Raw genomic sequence first — 18,815 nt, 5'->3', positions numbered from 1 at the left:
TCTAATTTATTCAGTCATTTCTTCTTTTATTCATGGGTTATTCAGAAGTGTATCACTTAGTATTCCAATATTTGGAGATTCTCTAGGTATCTTTCTATTGTTAACTTATAATTTAATTCTACTGTAGGACATACTTTGCCTACCCTTCCATACTTTGAATACTTTTCAATTTATTGAAACTTGTTTTGTGGCCTACAATATGTTCTACTTGGTAAATTTTCCATGTGCACTTGAAAAGAATATACAGTATTCTGCTGTTCCTAGGTAAAGTGTTCTATATCAATTGTCATGTCCTCTATATCCCTACTGATTCTGTTTACTTGTTCTACCAGCTGAAATCCTGAACTACAAATGTGGAGTTAGTTCTTCTTTCAATTGCATCAGTTTTTGCTTCATGTACTTTGAAGCTCTGGCATAAACATTTAAGATTGTTAGGTATTCTTGATGTCTTGACCCCTTTATCATTATGAATTGTCTCTCTTTACCTCTGTAAATTCTTTGCTCTGAAATCTTCTTGTCTATTATTAACATAGCTACTCCAGCTTTCTTCAGATTAATGTCTGCATGGCATATCTATTTCTATCCTTTTATACTTTTAATTTATCTGAGTCTTAGTATTTAAGGTGGGCTCATGTAGACAGCTCATAGTTGCATCTTCTTTTCTAGCCAATCTGATAATCTCTGCCTTTTAACTGAAATTTAGACCTTCTGTAATTAATGCAAATATCAATATCATATGGTTTAAATGTATTATCTTTGTTCCTTCTTTCCTCTTTTCCTGTCTTCTTTAGAATTAAATGAGTAATATTTATTACATTTACTCTCCACCATACAATAATTAGAGCTACTGTATTAGCTCTAACTCTGTTTGTTAGGTTTTAGAGATAACTCAAGTTTTACTTCATCAGTCTATTGTCAAATACCATTATGTCATTTCACAAATAGTCTAAGAATTACAAAAGTAAACTTCTATTTTCCTCCTCCTTTGTTTTTTTGCTAGTATTATACATTATACTTTTACATAAAATATCATTGCCATAGTTTGCCTTAAACGGTTATCTATTAGTGCTTAAAAAATTTTAAAGCCTATATATTTATCCACATATTTTCCATTTCTTGTGTTCTTTCTTTCTAAAGATCCAAATTTCCATCTAGTACCATTTTCTTTCTGCCTGAAAAACTTCCTTGAACATTTTTTATAGTGTAGATCTGCTAGTGATTAATTCTCTCAGCATTTGTTTGGCTGAAAAGTCTTTACTTCACCTTCATTTTTGAAAGATACTTTAAAGATACTGCTCCATTGCCTTTTTGCCTTCATATCTTCTGATGAAAAGTGTGCTCTCATTCTTATGTTTCTTTCTCTGAATGCATGTGTCATTTACTATCAAGTTTTAAGATTTTTCTCTTCAATTTAATTAGGACATGTCATTGTTTTGTTTTCATGTTGCTTCTCCTTAGGGTTGGTTAAGATACTTGGATCTGTGAGTTTATAGTTTTCATCAAATTGGGGGAAAATTTGACCATTATTTCTTCAAATATTTTTCTATCCCCCTCCATTCTTCTGAGAAGCCACTTACATATATATTAGACTGCTTGATAATGAAACACAAAACTTATACGCTTTTTTCTTTGTACTTAATGTTGGATAATTTATATAGCTATATATTCAAGTTCATTAATATTTTCTTCTCCAGTATCTAATCTCTTAATCCTATTCAGTGTATATTCTTACTTCAGATATTGTATTTTTCATCTCTAAAAGTTCTATTTGGGTCATTTTTATACCTTCCATTTATTTCTTCATTATGTTTTTATCTACTACTTGAACGATATTTATGGTAGCTGATCTACTGTATTTGTCCATTTTCACACTGCTATAAAGAACTACCTGAGACTGTGTAATTTAGGAAGAAAGGAGGTTTAAATGATGCAGTTCCACAGGCTTAACAGGAAGCATGGCTAGGAGGCCTCAGGAAACTTACAATGGCAGAAGGCAAAGGGAAGCAAGCACATCTTACCATGGTGGAGCAGGAGACACAGAGGGAAAAGAAGGAAGTGCTACACGCTTTTAAACAACCAGATCTCATGAGAACTCATTCACTATTATGAGAACACCAAGGGGTGTTCTCCATATCCATGGAGAATACTCCATATTCATATCCATATAGGTGTTCACCATAATCCAGTCACCTCCTATCAGGTCCCTCCCCCAACACTGGGGGTTACAATTCAACATGAGATTTGCGTTGGGACGCAGAGCCAAACCATATCATTTACTAATGCCATCATCTGTCATTCTCAGTCTATTACCATTGACTAAAGATTCTCTTGACTGTGGATTGCCTTTTCCTTTTTTTTTTCATGCCTGGTAACTTTTTATTAGATGCTAATCATTGTGAATGTTACACTTTTGGTGCTGGATTTTATTGTAGTTTTTATTTTTATTTTGATGGGTTTTCTCCCCTTGGATGCACTCAAGTTACTTGAAATCAGTTTGATCCTTTCAAATGTTGCTCTTAAACTCTGTTAGGGCAAGTCCAGAGTAGTCTTCAGTCTATTCCCATCTCCCTAACCTAACCCTAACCCTACTTTGCCAATATTTTGCTGAAGACTCTACTCAATGATCCATGTACTATATTAAAAGATCCACTATTGTTGAAACACATATTCTACCCAGCCTTGTATGAGCTCTGAGGAATTTTTCTTTGTTTTTCTTTTTTTTTGAGACAAAGTCTCACTCTGTTGCCTAGGCTGGAGCACAGTGATGCAATCTCAGCTCACTGCAACCTCTGCCTCCTGGGTTCAAGCTATTTTCCTGCCTCAGCCTCCCAAGTAGCTGGAATTACAGGCACCTGCCCATCATACCCGACTAATTTTTGTATTTTTAGTAGAGTCGGGGTTTCACCATGTTGGCCAGGCTGGCTTCGAATGCCTGACCTCAGATAATCCATCCACTTCGGCCTCCCAAAGTGCCAGGATTACAGGCATGAGCCACCAAGCCCAGCCCTCTGAGGAATTTTTCATCACTCCTTTCTCCTTCCTGTCATTTTTTCTCCAGCCTCAGGCAATTTCCTGCCTCGATTTTGTTTTCTTCCTTTAAGGAATGTTCTATTTTTATTTGGCAGATAAAATGAGGTTACTTAGAGATCATCTTGAGTCTCTCAAGGCTTATTTTTAAGCTTTCTTAAAATTGGTATACATTAGCCTTTAGTCTAGCTCCAGTTTGGATCTCTTATGAAAGTACAACCTTTCTGAGTCTCTACTCAATGCCCCACATGTTCAAGATCTTTCCACTTTAACTGGTTGGCATTCAAACTTCTCCCAGCTCAGTGTGAGCTCTGAGAGTTTTTCCTCTTATAACTCCCTGGCAGTTTTTCTTTTCACCTAATGCAACACATATGCATCTACGTCTATTTAATTATAAGTTAATAAACTTTTCATTTTAAAAGGCTTATATGTATATTTTCAGAAGCAGCAAGGTAGACAAAAAACACTGGTGAAAATTGTATCTGATCCTAAAGTCAGTCTTTTGGAGAAGACAATTTCATTAGATGGGTGCTGACAGCCATCGAGAGAAAAGGAAAGCAGACTGAGTTTCTGGGGACTACTGCAAGAAGAAAAAGAGAACATAGAGAGCTGGCCTCATCCTCAAAAGTGATCCCACATCTAACCAAATTAAAAAATCCACATGAGGTTTCTCAATACCTACTGTAAACAATTTATCAAGATACCTGGTTAGCACTTCGTGTACAAAGTGATAACCAGACGTCATTTTTCTTGGAAAAATCGGGGTTGGAACCACAGCTTTGACTTCATTATCAATATATTTAACCAACAATCTGGGCTCCTCTATGGAAGTGGCTTAAATGCCTTGCAGATTAACCATGGACTAAGAACTTTCTTTGATCTTGAATACTGTTCCAAAACACACAACCCCAGGGCTCCATTTCTCACCCAATATAATCATTCCTGAGCAGAGCATTATCAAATAGTATCAAGCCAGGAAACTGGCTTAGGGTACTAAGGTGAAAGGATTTAGCCAAGTAGCAACCCAAATATGAACAAGGAAATGAGCTTAAGACACATTAAGCATTTAGAATAAGCCCCACCTGACTGATGACCATGGTGGATTAAGCTTCATCTTTAATTATTGATATTAATGATCTACTGTGAGCAAGATGATCTCTAAGGTACTTTCTAATTGTGAAATATTATTCTGTCTTATGTATCAGACATAACTGATAGCCTATCACTACATGTGCTTTACTGACTACATTTCTGTCGGTCTTACTAAAAGTAAAGAGCTCAACTGTTGTCATCATCTAAAGGTGCCACCACTTTTATTTGTTTACCAGATCACCAGATGATACTGGTCCATTACCCTTGACCTAGTCAGACCTTGACAAAAGACTTAATGGTGCTATTTAGGATGCATTTCCTTGCTGCTTTGTGCAGGTGGCTTTCTCGTTGTTGCATAAACAGTGACGGGAACATCAGTTATTGTCAGGCAATGACTTCCAGGGCACCTCCGGAGTTGCCTGAATAAAAAAGCAGATGACATGTAGTTAGATACTAAAAAGAGGAAATATTTTTTTTCAGAGCACCAAAGTTTGATTGTATATTTAACTGTTTTAAATCACTTTGAAATCTCTGAATGTCATACAATGAGTACAACATGGTGATGCTGACGAGGCACCCATTTTAGATGGATATAACAAAGAAATTGTGGCCTCTGACGTACATATTTAATCACAGGAAATTCATATATTCAAAGATAATCCTCCGGATGTTGATTTTGAAAGGTATGCAATGATTGCTAAATGGCAAAACAAAAGTGCATAGTTACAAACATAAGTGACAATACCGTGGCAATTCATGTGCATTTGCACCCTAAATCACCTTAGTTGAGTGATTTCAAAACAAGAATGTTTGTGGTAAAATACAAAACTGAACATAGTATTCCACATACTGTTCAAATGTTGATAGAATCTCAGATTTGAAATGGCCCTTAAATGACACCTAGTTCAAAAATACATCGAATATATGAATTTCCTTTCCAACATTCCCACCAAATAGTCATTCAGCCTTTAGCATTTCTAAAGATCGGGAGCTCACTACTTCCCAAAGCAGCCCATTTTATCCTTGACTAACTCCGATTTTTAAATACCTACACCTGTTAAACTTAAATCTGTGTTCCCAAAATTTCCAAGCCATGAGAATCTAACAATGTAGTATTTAAGGTTTTGCTATGGTAAACATCAGAGAAATGGAACTAATCATTCTGCAAAAACACTTTGTCTCACAGAATCTTCAGATTCTATATCACTCTTTCTGCCAAAGGTCGCAGCAAAGCCAAAGTGATACTAATCAAAGCCAAAGTGACATTAACTCTGAGGTCTAAGTCTTTTTCATATTTTTAGCCTTATGCCTAGCACAGTGCCCTGTGCATACTAGCACTGAAGTTTTGTTTGTTTAATTGAATGTTATCTAATCGTGAAGCTATCAACAAAACAATCTATTAGGTTGGTGCAAAGGTAATTGTGTTTTTGTTGTTGTTGTTAATAGCTAAAAATGTACCAGAAAGACAGAGAATGAATTGCTCTATCATCAAGACTTACAGAAATACAAAATACAGACTCTACACTAAGGAAAACTGGGCTCTGTTAATACGCTAACTTAGAAACAACAATGTTTTTGAATTGCTGAGAGTTTTTTCTTGCTAATAATGAATATCAGCTGAAGGTTGTATTGATGATAGCCAATACATATCTCCTCACTTGTGAGGACAGAAGACTTTACCTGGTTGGTGACATCTCCTTCCCATTACAGGCAGCACTGGAGCTCAGCCCAGGTTCCAGCTCAATTGAAGAATCTCCTCCTTCCACTGGAAACCTCCTTGGCTGGGTTCCAAATTGAAAAGGCATACTTCACTGAAAACCTAGATCGGAAAGTTAAAATATTGAAAACCTAGATTAGAAAATTAAAATATTGGGGGTGGAGATAGATTGTCTTCAAAGACTTGCATGGAATGTTTTAAAGAGTCAGAGTCTCACTATGTTGGCCAGGCTGGAGTGCAATGGTTATTCACCAGTGCAATCATAGTGCACTACAATTTTGAAACCCTGGGCTTAAGTGATCCTCCTGCCTCAGCCTCCTGAGTAACTGGAACTACAGGTGCACACAACGTGCCTGCCCTTGGAATTTTTAATATTACTATTTTGTTATAGACATACAGAAACATTCTGAATGTTATTCTATTTTTAAATAGCTAAAAATAGTGTTTAAAATACTGTATTTCACAACTATCCCTTATGTACAATTTAAGTCTTGCAAAAAATACAAAATAGCCACCAAGCAACGCAAGGAAAATACTCTATGGTTAACATAACTGAAGACCATTTCTGCCGTGTGAAAACAAAATTCTGTATGCCTTTAAATGGTTGTTGCAATCAACAAGCACCTCTCTACCTATCTATGCCCTTCTCTTCCTTTGGAGCACAGTTTCACATTCACCAAGATATCTTTAGCTAATCCTTCAGTTCCAGGGGATTATTCATTTCCCCACTGCTTCTCTATAGTCACAGTATAGTCCCTGGCTCTGGCCCTTCCCAACTATGTGATCTTCAGTCAAGGTACTTATCTATATTTCTCAAGGGTACATTGGTGATAATATTTTCTACTTCTAGGATAATAGTGAGGATTAAGTAAGGTAATACACGTAAAGTGCAGTGCCTAACACACAGTAAGTGCTCAGTAAATGTTAACTATTATTATTTAGCAGGTACTACTGAGCATTAGTAAGTATATATAAATGTCTGCAAGTATACCTGAGATATGAAATTTATTATGAAATACACACACAAACACATATAAATGAACTCCTTACTGCCTACCTTGGAACACTTCCCTACCCCCTGCTCCCACCCTTCACTTGCTATGGCCAATGCAATCCATTAAGTCTGAATTTACATTTTACTTACTCTATAACTTACTTTTATAACCCCCATTATCTAAGTTTTCATAGCAACCTTTATTTCTCCTTCGTAACAGTTATCCTTCTAATTCAGGGTTTCTCAACCATGACACTATTCACAGCTGGGATCAGATAGTTCTTAGCTGGGGAGGGAGGATACTGTCCTGTGCACTGTAGGATGTTTCGCAGCATTCAAGGCCTTTACCCACTGGATGCAAAGAGTACCCCTCTCCCAAAATTGTGACAGCCCAAAATGTCTATAGACATTGTCAAATGTCCCCTGGTGGGAGAGAGAGGCAAAACTGCCCACTGTTGAGAAACACTACCCTCATTTTTTGTAAATGTTTAATATCCCCCCTCATTCCAAGTCTGTCTTTGTCATCCCTGAATACTTAATACCTAGAACAGTGCTTGTCACACAGTGGACATTTAATAGCTCTACCCTGAAATAACTTGCATGTATTCAACTATTAGTACACAATGTATTCAACTATTAGTACACAATGTTTTCAACTATTAGTACACAATGTATTCAACTATTAGTACACAATGTTTTCAACTATTAGTACACACTGTTTTCAACTATTAGTACACAATGTATTCAACTATTAGTACACAATGTTTTCAACTATTAGTACACAATGTTTTCAACTATTAGTACACAATGTTTTCAGCTATTAGTACACAATGTTTTCAGCTATTAGTACACAATGTATTCAACTATTAGTATACAATGTATTCAACTATTAGTACACAAAGGGTAGGAAAAATTTAAAATGGTGCAACTATTTCTTATGCCTAGTACAGTATTCTATGCCTAAAAGTGAATGTTTATTGGTGTTAATAATAAAACTAAATTAAGGTTTAAAAATTTGAATATGATAACTTTTATAGACTGTCTCAATATCAAGAAAAAAGTGTTTCGCTCAATGATGATTTAGTGAAACCATAATAAACTCTGTGGTTTAGTATAACTACCTATCTATGCAGGTATTAACATTTAGCTAATTTGATCAAGGATAAATAGACTTACCAAAAGAGGCTGAGTCTGATTCCTGTAGAGGTGAATAAATCAATGCTTTCTACTGGCCTTTCCACAGAAGGCTGGAATTGCCAAAGGAATGATGATCAAATGTTCCGGTGACACCCGGAAATTATGACATCAGGAGATTCTTTCACATAGTTTCCTACCTGCTAAAGAATCAAACATCTCAATGCATAGCTCCAACAACAAGCTGAGGCTTAGCTAAAAATTTTCTCTAAAGCTTTTTGGAGAGTTTCATTCTTGTTTTTACTGGCTTATTTCCCTACAATATTAGTATTTTCATCCATGAGTGGGGACCTACAGTCTAATCCACCTGTAGTAAATCAGAATTGAGATTCTTCTCATTTTATATCCTGTTTTCCTCATTCCCTTTCTCTCCCAGACCTTCTCTTATAACATCCCAAATAAATCCCATCTGTCTACATCCTCATCTCACTCCAATATCCTCAAACCCAAATTGTACCTTTACAAATTTCTCTATAACTCTTACATGGGATTCTTTACACCCTCTCTCTAATGCCTGGACTAACTTTATTTTTTTTTCCTGTTTCCTCAAGAGAGTCTTCAAATTCCCAAATGGCTGGAATAATTACAATTGTGAAAGGAAGAATACATCTTTTTTGTTGTTGTTGTTGAGACAGAGTCTCGCTCTGTCACCCAGGCTGGAGTGCAGTGGTGCTATCTTGGCTCACTGCAAGCTCTGCCTCACCTGTTCACACCACTCTCCTGCCTCAGCCTCCCAAGTAGCTGGGACTACAGGCACCCGCCACCACACCCGGCTAATTTTTTCTATTTTTAGTAGAGATGGGGTTTCACCGTGTTAGCCAGGATGGTCTCGATCTCCTGACCTCGTGATCCGCCCGCCTCGGCCTCCCAAAGTGCTGGGATTACAGGCGTGAGCCACCGCGCCCGGCCGAAAGGAAGAATACATCTTGTACTGTCCTCATTATTCTGTTCCCTGAGCCCTGGGCTGCTTCTCTGCTCATTTCTCTAACTGCTCTCCCTCTCCCAACTCATTCTTGGCTTCTAGATCAATAGCCCACCTCATGAACTTCTCCTCTACTCAGTAATGTTTAGTTTAACCCTTATACCAGAACATAACTCTTCAGCTAAGCAGTTTTTCAATTTTCATATCCGATGACTAAACTATTAAATGTTAGTGAGCATTTTTACCACTGTTGTGTTTTCATATGACTCAAGTTATAGAAAACTGGCATTTTACATAAGAATTAACTTGATGTTGGATACAATCTTACCTCCACCTTCTTTTTCTTACTAGGGTACTATCTGTGAATAAGTTGATCACCATTTCAGCTTGGAAAAATAACTGACGGTGTCACAGTCACACAAACAAATAATTGCTGGCCATTGTGAGCTAAGGTATCATTAGGACCTAAACATTTGGTCCTTAGGATGGCAAAAAATGTAATAGTTTACATGTTTGAGAGGTGGTAGCAGTGGGGAGAATGATGGGTTTTAGCATCAGAATTAGGTTAGAGGTTTTTTTTTTTCTTTTTTTTTTTTTTTGGTTTTTTTTTTTTTTTTTTTTTTTTTGAGACAGGGTCTTGCTCTGTCATCCAGGCTGGAGTGCAGTGGCATGATCATGGCTGACTGCATGCAGCCTCGACCTCCTGGAATCAAGCAATCCTCCTGCCTCAGCATCTCAAGTAGCTGGGACTACAGGTGCACACCACTATGCCCAGCTAATTTTGTATTTTTTTGTAGATAGAGGGTTTTACCATGCTGCTCAGGCTAGTCTCAAATTCCTGGGCTCAAGTGATCCACCCACCTCACCCTCCCAAAGTGCTAAGGTTACAGGCATGAGCCCACTGTGCCCAGCCAGGTTTGAATTTTGACACAATGTTAGCTCTGAGATTTTAAGCAAATCACTAAAAGTTTGTCTGTAAAATGGTATTAATTCCTACCTTACAGAGTTGTCGTGAGGAATTAAAAACAATCTAACATGTATAAAGCCAATAACTGGGACACAAGAATTCAATCAGCACTACTTCCTACATATTTTTGTGTCATTCTTGAAATCAGAGTATTGAGACACTGATTTCACCTTTTAGTCATGGATATATATGAAGTAAAATATCTGTAAGTGGGGTATTCTTAAAATCCTGTAATTTACCATTTTAACTAGTCCATTTGGCATACCATGCTTCTTTAGAATGGGTGATACAATGAAACAAACCAAACAGTAGTCTTAATGATGAAACTTTACAACATTAGAATGATACCTCAGAAGACAAAAGGAATTTGAGTCTCCAGCATATTTTCATAAAGCAATAGATAAACAAGAGCAATGCAAATGGTGAATAAAAAGATGAAGTATCCAAATACCCCCTTAAGTATCACAAGCTCAAGAGTAATAGTCTTTCAATTCTCAAGATATTAATTCATGAGATGCAGAAAATGAGTGATATTTGAACTTGTCATGTTCTAAGAAAAAAAGACCCATGGACTTCATTCATTCATTCATTTAATGAATATTTGCTGAGAATCCACCATGAGCCAGGCATGTGTTAAGTGTTAAAGATAAAAGATTAAGCAAAAACAAACACAGTTCCTGTTGTGGTAGAGTTTGTAGGTTACGATAGGATTTGTTTTAGTCTAGGATATTTAATCTAAATCTAAGAGATGGGGGGCATTAATTAGGTGGAAATGAGTGGGAGACAAAAACATTGACACAGTTGAGGAGGGGGCAAAGAGGAAAACAGCATGTGGAAAGGTCATGCTAGTAAAGACAATAAAAAATCTGAAAGGCCAGCATAACCACAGCATGGAAAACAGAAAATAAATGGAGTCTGAGACATAAGCACAGGCCAAATCACGCAGGAGCAAAAACTCAAGTTAAAATTTTAGACTTTATCTTATGAACAAGGAAGCCTATCAAATAATTTTAATTTCTCAGGACACATATTTAGGTTTCATTGATTTTTCTCTATTTTCTATTTACTATTTATTTTATTTCCACTCCAATCTTTATTATTTCTTTTCTTCTGTCTACTTTGGGCTTAATTTGCTTTTCTTTTTCTAATTTCTTAAGGTAGAAGCTTAGGTCATTAATTTTAGTGCTTTCTTCTTTTCTAATGTAAACATTTAATTCTATAAATTTCCATCAAAGCACTCCTTTAGCTGCATTCCACAAATTTTTTAATTTTGTATTTTCATTTCCTTCAGTTAAAATTTTTTTGCTTTTTCTTCTTTGACCTATGGGTTATTTACAATTATATTGTTTAATTTTCCAATATTTAGGAATATTCTACTTTTCTGTTACTGATTTCTAATTAGGTTCCATTTTTGTTAGAGAACATTCTTTGTATCACTTGAATCCTTTTAAATTTATTTAGACTTGTTTTTATAGCCAGAATATAAACTGCCTTGGTAAATGTTTCACACATACTTGAATGTATATGCTGCTATAGTTGGCTTCAGTGTTCTATATAAGTATTTTCCAATATTTAGGAATATTCTACTTTTCTGTTACTGATTTCTAATTAGGTTCCATTTTTGTCAGAGAATATTCGTTGTATGACTTGAATTCTTTTAAATTTATTTAGAGTTGTTTTTATAGCCAGAATATAAACTGCTTTGGTAAATGTTCCACACGCACTTGAATGTACATGCTGCTATAGTTGGCTTCACTGTTCTATGTAAGTGATTTGTTGATTGATAGAACTGTTCAAGTCTTCCATATTCTTACTGATTTTCTATATACTTGGTTTATCAACTATTGAAATAAGGGTGTGAAATCTCCAACAATAATTGTGATTTTATTTACTTCTCCTTTCTATTCTGCAGTTTTTACTTCAGGTATTTTGAAGCTATTATTTGGTGCATAAATATTTAGTATTGTTATATCCTCTTGATGAAATGACACCTTTATCATTATGAAATATGTCTGATATCTTTGCTCTATAGTCTACTTTTCTGATACTTGTATAGATACTTTTCATTCATTGATTTTAGTATGACATATCTTTTCCTATTCTTTTATTTTTAACCAATTTGGTTATTATATTCCAAGTGGGTTTCTTGTAAGCAGTATATATTTGAGTCTTGCTTATTTTACCCACTGTGATGACCTCTATCTTGAAATTAGGGTATTTTTATCATTTATATTAATATTTAATATGATAGATACGGTTGAATTAAAATTTGCCATCTTGCTTTTTGTACTCTATTTGTGCCATCAGTTCTTTGTGTCCTTTTCTTCTTATTCCATTCTTTTGGATCAATGAATATATTTTATGAATCTATTTTATTCCATTATTGGTTTATTACTATACACCTTTGTGTTTTGTTTTGTGTTACTTTAGGGTTTATAGTATACATATTTAACTTTTCATAGTTCACTTCCAAATAACATTATACCACTTCACATATACTAGAAGAACCATATAAAAGTATATTCCATTTCCCCTCTCCCACTATATATAATTTTGTTGTCATATACTTTAATTCTATCTATAGTACAAACCCCATGCATGTCGTTATACATTTTCCTTTAAGCAATTGTCTTTAAAACAAGAGATGCCTTCTATATTCATCTACATTTTTATCATTTTCAGTGCTCTTTATCCCTTTGAGTAGGTCCAGATTTTCTTACAACATAATTTTCCCTTTGCCTGAATGTTTCATTTAACAGTGCTGGTCTGTTGGTGATTAATTAATTTAGCTTTTATATCTCTTTTTTTCATATTCATTGTGGAACAATATTTTAACTGGGTATAGAATTCTCAATTAGCAGTTTTGTTTTCTTTAGGTACTTTAAAGATTTGGGTCCACTATGTTCCAGCTTGCATTGTTCCCAACAAGAAGTCTGTTGATTTTTTTATCTTTGTTCCTCTATATGTAATATGTCTTTTTTATCTGGCTGGCTTTAATATTTGCTTTTTATCACTGATATTAAGCAATTTGATTACAATGTACTTGGCATAGTTTCTTTCTGTTTCTTGTGCCTAAGGTTCACCGAGCTTCTTGGATCTGTGGGTGCATAATACTTATCACATTTGAAATTTTTTTAGGCATTGTTTCTTCAAGTATTTTTTGTTCCCTCCTCTGGCATGCCAGTTACATGTATATTACACTGTTGAAAGTTGTCCCACAGTGCACTAGTTCTCCTTTTTAAAAAAATCTTTTTGTTCTCTGTTTTATTTTGCACAGTTTCCATTGCTACATCTTTAAGTTTGCTAATCTTTTCTTTTGCCTAATGTCTAATCTGCTCTTTATTCCATCCATTTTTCACCTTAGATATTGTACTTTTCATCTCTAGAAGTCTAATTGGGATCTCTTTTTCATATTTCTTTGTCCCTTCTCAGTCTGCCTGGGCTTCCTTCTGTCCTCTTGAACATATACTGCTTTAATGTTCTTTTAATTTTATGTAATTATTATGTTTACTAATTCTTTCATTTGTGCCATTTCTTGTTCTGTTTTTAACTAATTTTTCACCTCATTATGGGACTCATCTTTGCATATCTGGCAATTTTTGACTTGGGTGCCAGGCATTGTGATTTTACATTGCTAAACAATTTTATTTTTATTCCTCTAAGTATTTTTAAGTTTTGTTCTGGGACACAGCTATTTGGAAACAGCCTGGTTCTTTGGAGGCTTGGTTTCATGCTCTCTTAAGCTAGATTACAACAGCCTTTCATCCAGGGCTAACTTTTCTTCACTACTGAGGTACCTTTCTGAGTACTCAACTCAATGTTCCAGCTATTTTAAGGTTTCTCCACTCAAGATACGGGGAATGTGAATTAGTCCTAGCCCTATGTGAACCCTAGGAATTGTTCTGCCCGCTTATTTCCAGTGGTTCTTTCCTCAGTCTTACATAGTTTCCATGAATCCATGCAAGGATCAGCACTCAGTTTAGGCTCATGAGGAACTCCTTAAAGATTTTCAGAGCTTTGTTTTTGCATACTCTCTAACAAATAAAGAAACAGATAAAGAAAATGTGGTATATATACACAATGGAATACTATTCAGCCTTAAAAAAGAAGAAAATGCCGTCATTTGTGACAACATGGATAAACCTGGAGGACATTATGCTAAGTGATATTAGCCAGCCACAGAAAGAGAAACACTCCACTTAGATGTGGAATCTAAAAAAGTCAAGCTCATAAAAGTAGAGAGTAGAATGGTGGTTACCAGAGGGTAGCAAAGCTGGAGGGTGGGACAGGGATAGAGATCAGAAAGATGTCCAACGGATACAATAAGTTTCAGTTAGGAGGAATAAGTTTTATAGATCTATTACATAGCATGGTGACTAGTTATTAATAATATATATTTCAGAACTGCTAAAAGAGCAGATTTTAAATGTTCTCATCACAAAAAAATTCTGAGTATGTGAAATGATGGATATGTTAATCAGATTGATTTAATCATTCCACAATGTAAATATTTATCAAAAAATCAACTGTACCCCATTAATATACACAATAATTAATCAATTTAAAATCAAACAAATCAAAAATGGACCAAATAATGGCAGATCATCAGCCTGAGTGCCAGAAGGGGGATAACATAAAGCATAGCCCCCAGACACCCCTCAATGGACATGTATCATGTACAAAAAAAAAATTGTTGTTTTACACCACTGAGATTTTGGGGTTGATTGTTACCACAGCACAACAAAGTTTATGCTGATGTATACAGACTTTGGTCCAGACTTAGGTACCGCTATAACAAAAATCTAAAATATAAGTCACCATACCTAAGTGGTCAAGCAGCAATTAACAAGGAAACTGTTGTGGAAAGCTAAAAGGATAGTGATCTATGTCACCCAGGAACAAACCTATTGGGAAAAATCTTTGGAAAACTCTGTGATAACCTAGAAGGCATGTGATTTAACTAATGAATTTAAATGTTGGGAGAAGAGGCTGGAAAACAATAACATGTCAGTTGCTACTGTTTGTCAAGTTATATGAGAAAGAGATGAGCTCAGAAATGGCGGTGTGCAAGCAAGAATAAAAACAGACCACCCACAACTCTGAATTATATTTTAATGACAACTTACAAAAGCTACAGAATAATTTTCTTCTAAAACATTTTATTCCCCTTCAGAACTTTGCAGCATGTTTTCAATGCCTTCCAGTACTGAATGTGCTATATAGATGAGTCTAAAGTACTCTAATTAATTGTTTTTTCTTCATCCCACTCCCCCGTTCATTTCATGCCTAGGTACCTAAAAAATTCTCTCTTTATTCTGAAAAGTTGAATGCCTTAATGAGGCTGCATGTCTTGGTGTTGATTTTTCTATAAATTGTCCTATAGAACATAGTGTGTATCCTTTTAATCTATGTATTTTTCTTCCTTTTTTTTTATCAAGTACATTTTTTCCTCCATTTGCTGTGGGCACATGTTAATCTTATGTTGAGCCATCTTTGTCTCCTTCATACATATTATTTTTAATAACTTTCATATCTCTGGGTTTTGCCTAGTATTGTTATTATTTTAAGACTTTCCTCTACATTATAATTTGATGTGCATCTCTCTAGTCTGCTTCTTAAATGCTTTTAAAAATTATTTCTTTAAGTCCTTTAAGGTGGATGTTGTTGTCTTCAGTTAATTTCCTTAGTTCTTTTATCTCCATTTTATTTCATTTATTCATCAAATATTTATTTACTATCTACTATATGCAAGGTACTATCCCTAGTAGTGGATAAAACAACAAGACTCAGCCCTCATAGAGCTTGAGTCTTATTATTTTAGTATCTTGTCTTTAAGTTCCTGTTTTATTGCATTCATATTCTTAAGTTCTTCTTCAGCACAAAGTAGATATGATGAATTTTCTTTTCTCCCCTCTTAGGCTAGGTTTTACCCCAAGGTCTTGTACTTTATCCATCTTTTACATCGTTCCTTCCTTCCTCTCCCCCTTCCCTCCCTCTCTCCCTTCCATCCTTGTCTTCCTTCCTTCAATTTTAGGAGTCCATAGGATTCCCAATAATTTTTTTCTTTTTCATTTTCAGCATGTGGAATTCTGTTCACTCTATTTGCTCTGTATGTTGGTCAGCTATCACTACAATAAAACTGCACCCCAAAATTTCAGTAATTTCAACCAAAAACATTTCTCTTGCTTATAATATTCTGAATAGCCCGCTGCGGTTCAACCGATCTCAACTTGGCTCACCCGGGTTTGCATATACGGAAGTTTTGGAGTGGCTGGCATGTGAGGCTCTACCTTGCTTGGCTCTTAAGCAGAACTGTCTCTCAGTCTGATTCTCTAGAGACTGAAGTTATTAATAAGATGTGTTAGGACTTTTCTTTCCTGTGTGGGGAATAATGACTGGGACTGCATGAAGGGTAGGGCTCTGCAAAGGCCAGTGTATCATCTCACCTAGCACTGATAACACACTGATACAGACCTATTCACATCACTGCCTACAAACTGGACCAAGACTTGCAAATTTTGGAAGCCCCAGACGTTGGGACTTTAGCATCAAGACCTAAAATGCCCAACTTTACCTCTACCACTGACCCCATACTCAGTAAGAAGTTAAGAATAAATCCAGCCTACAAAAATTTACTGACCGAAAGCTGCCTATTACCAAAAGATATAAAATCCATTGCAACTTTAAACCTACCGGCTACCAGAGAAATTTAATAGTAACTACTACGTGTCTTGGTGGGACAATAAAGTGTTCTAATCCATTGAATATTACAGTTCATATTAGCACATATTCATAGCACATACCATATAACTTTTTATTAAACAAAGAAGACTTCTTAGAGTTTCGTAGTTCTTCAGAATTTTTGTGGAAAATATTAATTTCATTAAAGAAGTACTTGAGTTCTTAATTAAAATCTGGTCTAATTTGATCAATAGAAGTTTACATATTTTAATGTTTGACAATTTTAAGTAGTTGGTAATTGTCATAATGCCTAACTTTTTAATCTTCTCCTGCCTATCCCATCTAAATACCCATCTAAATGCCTAGTGTTAATCTCGTGTCTTCTATCAGACTTCTACATACTCATCTACATCCTCAACCACTGAATCCTATTGCACTTATAGTCAACGCCACACAATTCTTTAAGTATTTCGCGTGTATGTCTTCAATTAGATTGTAAGCTTCTTGGAACTGGATCTATGCCTTAATTTCTTTCTAATCTTCCCAGCGAGCCTACAAGTTAATTTGGGGAGTATACAGCGTTCAACAAATACTGGTTGGGTCTGTGACCTTAGCTTTGCCATTTTTGTCAAAGCGTATAACCATCTAGTTTCAATTGTGCCCTGACATGACTATTTCTCTGGGGTTTCTCTTTGCTCAACGCCATTGTTCATTTTCTATTAGAATAAAGGGCTTGTTGAACAGAGATGCCAACGCAGCGTCCCGTGGAATCTGAATAAACGGACTGATCCACCGCCCCGGGTGTTGAGGCTGTGAACAAAAATTAAACCTCTGATAGCCCACGAACAGCTTAACGACACATATTTTAAAATACCACTCCAAAGCCTAGTTACCTGCCAGTTACCCCGGCCTCCGGAGCTGCCGATGCTCGAAGATGTTGACAAGGCAGCTAGGATATACAGTCCAGAAGCCCAGTCGCTACGGTAACGGTGACACGCAAGTGCACTTGCGCGGCCTTCTGACGGAAAACCTTAGCCTGAACCTACAGACGTGCTTAGCGACGGCAGAGGCTTGCGGCAGTAGCGTGACTTACGGCAGCTCTCTAGCAGAGCGCCGTTGCTGGGGGAATGCAGAAGCGGCCGCGGGCTAGCAAGCTCCCGGAGCCGGCGGCGCACCACCATGACCCAGTCGGTGGTCGTACAGGGTAAGCTACGCCGGGCGGGTAGAGACCTGGTCGCCGCGGAATCCAGCGGCCATGTTTCCTGCTTAATGTCCTATTCTCTTTCCTTCCTCTCCTCCGGTCGCAGTCGGCCAGTGCGGAAACCAGATCGGCTGCTGCTTCTGGGACCTGGCACTAAGGGAGCACGCCGCGGTCAACCAGGTACCCGCCCGCCGCCGCGAGCCCCCTCGCCTGTCAGCTAGGTCTTCCAGCCCATACGCAGGAAATAATCGACTTGAGCTTTCATCTGACCCGTTTAAGATGCATGGGATCTTCCCAGTAAAGAACGTACTGGTTTTTAAACATGTTGCGTCAGACACACACTAAACTAAAAGAACACTGGCCAGCGACCTTAGTCTTAACGTTTTTCCTGATTCTCAGGGTCTCCTCTTTATTGGTGTTCGTGTGCAGAACAGTGAGATTTGTATATGGGAAAGTACTTTGTAAAATAGATAACACGTGTGGTTATTGTATTCCTTAATTTAACCAGTCAGCTTTTAAAAAGATTACGAAGAATCCAGAGAACGCTCATTTGATGGACCTGTCCTACAGTCCTATGGGTGAAATCCTTTCTTTAGCACCCCCTGCTGAACTTTTTATCTGTAGATCTGGCATTTACTCTTCTAAGGAGATTGGGAAGAGTCAGGCTCCGCATTTTGTGATACTTGGTTTTTCTTATCAGAGTCTCATCCTAGCCATTACAGTATTATGTAATTAAAATTGAAAGAACTTGATTTGGGCGAGAAGCAAAACCTAAATGCTATTAACATATGTTTTTCTTTTTAGAAAGGAATTTATGATGAGGCAATAAGCAGCTTCTTTAGAAATGTGGACACCAGGTAAGATGGGATTAAAGTCTGTCACAGTGTGATACTTTAAGTTTCAGTAGCTTGGGAGAGAATTCTTCAAAGGACAATAAAAATAGCCAGCTGCGAAGTTGTGTTTTTTTGTTTCATTATTGAAAGCATATTTATTCTATTAGATTATTAATATTCTTATATC

The 18,815-nt window shown here is 36.3% G+C and overlaps 2 protein-coding genes across 6 annotated transcripts in view, besides 4 other annotated features; one reads left to right on the top strand and one right to left on the bottom strand.

The window, feature by feature from the left end:
* Positions 1-2,417: 2,417 nt before the first annotated feature.
* Positions 2,418-17,617, bottom strand: FAM229B (family with sequence similarity 229 member B). 3 transcript variants are annotated; one of them, NM_001033564.3, is made up of 4 exons: positions 17,488-17,617; positions 8,007-8,167; positions 5,800-5,938; positions 2,418-4,538 (listed from the first exon to the last, which is right to left on the bottom strand). In NM_001033564.3, the coding sequence occupies exons 3-4, from the start codon at positions 5,922-5,924 to the stop codon at positions 4,421-4,423; spliced, it is 243 nt and encodes an 80-aa protein (NP_001028736.1). In that variant the 5' UTR covers positions 5,925-5,938; positions 8,007-8,167; positions 17,488-17,617; the 3' UTR covers positions 2,418-4,420. The 3 variants fall into 3 exon arrangements, with proteins under 3 accessions (NP_001028736.1, XP_016866663.1, XP_016866664.1); XM_017011174.3 differs by having other exon boundaries at positions 8,007-8,164; XM_017011175.3 differs by lacking the exon at positions 8,007-8,167.
* Positions 4,176-4,965: an enhancer, noted in NCBI's record as "OCT4-NANOG hESC enhancer chr6:112421446-112422235 (GRCh37/hg19 assembly coordinates)". NCBI's record gives its function as "activates a minimal SCP1, AML or CMV promoter by ChIP-STARR-seq in primed H9 embryonic stem cells {active_cell/tissue: H9 hESC(primed)}" and the evidence as "EXISTENCE:reporter gene assay evidence [ECO:0000049][PMID:30033119]".
* Positions 17,481-18,012: an enhancer, noted in NCBI's record as "H3K27ac hESC enhancer chr6:112408399-112408930 (GRCh37/hg19 assembly coordinates)". NCBI's record gives its function as "activates a minimal SCP1, AML or CMV promoter by ChIP-STARR-seq in naive H9 embryonic stem cells {active_cell/tissue: H9 hESC(naive)}" and the evidence as "EXISTENCE:reporter gene assay evidence [ECO:0000049][PMID:30033119]".
* Positions 17,557-17,746: an enhancer, noted in NCBI's record as "active region_24960". NCBI's record gives its function as "activates an Ori minimal core promoter by ATAC-STARR-seq in GM12878 lymphoblastoid cells {active_cell/tissue: GM12878}" and the evidence as "EXISTENCE:reporter gene assay evidence [ECO:0000049][PMID:35858748]".
* The window catches only part of TUBE1 (tubulin epsilon 1), a 16,820-nt gene continuing 15,730 nt past the window's right edge, over positions 17,726-18,815 (top strand). Inside the window, exons 1-3 of one of the 3 annotated variants that reach the window (NM_016262.5) lie at positions 17,726-17,798; positions 17,902-17,975; positions 18,600-18,652. In NM_016262.5, the coding sequence (NP_057346.1) occupies positions 17,774-17,798; positions 17,902-17,975; positions 18,600-18,652 (152 nt within the window). In that variant the 5' untranslated portion in view covers positions 17,726-17,773. Of the gene's footprint in view, positions 17,799-17,901; positions 17,976-18,599; positions 18,653-18,815 lie in introns of those variants that run through there. The other 2 variants (XM_047418855.1, XM_047418854.1) reach the window with 2 other exon arrangements.
* Positions 18,147-18,196: an enhancer, noted in NCBI's record as "active region_24959". NCBI's record gives its function as "activates an Ori minimal core promoter by ATAC-STARR-seq in GM12878 lymphoblastoid cells {active_cell/tissue: GM12878}" and the evidence as "EXISTENCE:reporter gene assay evidence [ECO:0000049][PMID:35858748]".

The sequence above is a fragment of the Homo sapiens genome, chromosome 6 (assembly GCF_000001405.40).
Source record: "Homo sapiens chromosome 6, GRCh38.p14 Primary Assembly".
In the NCBI taxonomy this organism is placed as follows: Eukaryota; Metazoa; Chordata; class Mammalia; order Primates; family Hominidae; genus Homo; species Homo sapiens.
The sequence above is the reverse complement of the archived record's forward strand: the minus strand, read 5'-3'. Positions and strand labels throughout refer to the sequence as shown.

What these genes read in the sequence shown, in the direction of transcription:
- FAM229B (NM_001033564.3), bottom strand. Translation starts at nt 5,924, where the DNA reads ATGCCTTTTCAATTTGGAACCCAGCCAAGGAGGTTTCCAGTGGAAGGA. An exon ending in AAGGAGATGTCACCAACCAG is followed by an intron (nt 4,539 to 5,799) that starts GTAAAGTCTTCT and finishes TTTTTTATTCAG; the next exon opens with GCAACTCCGGAGGTGCCCTG.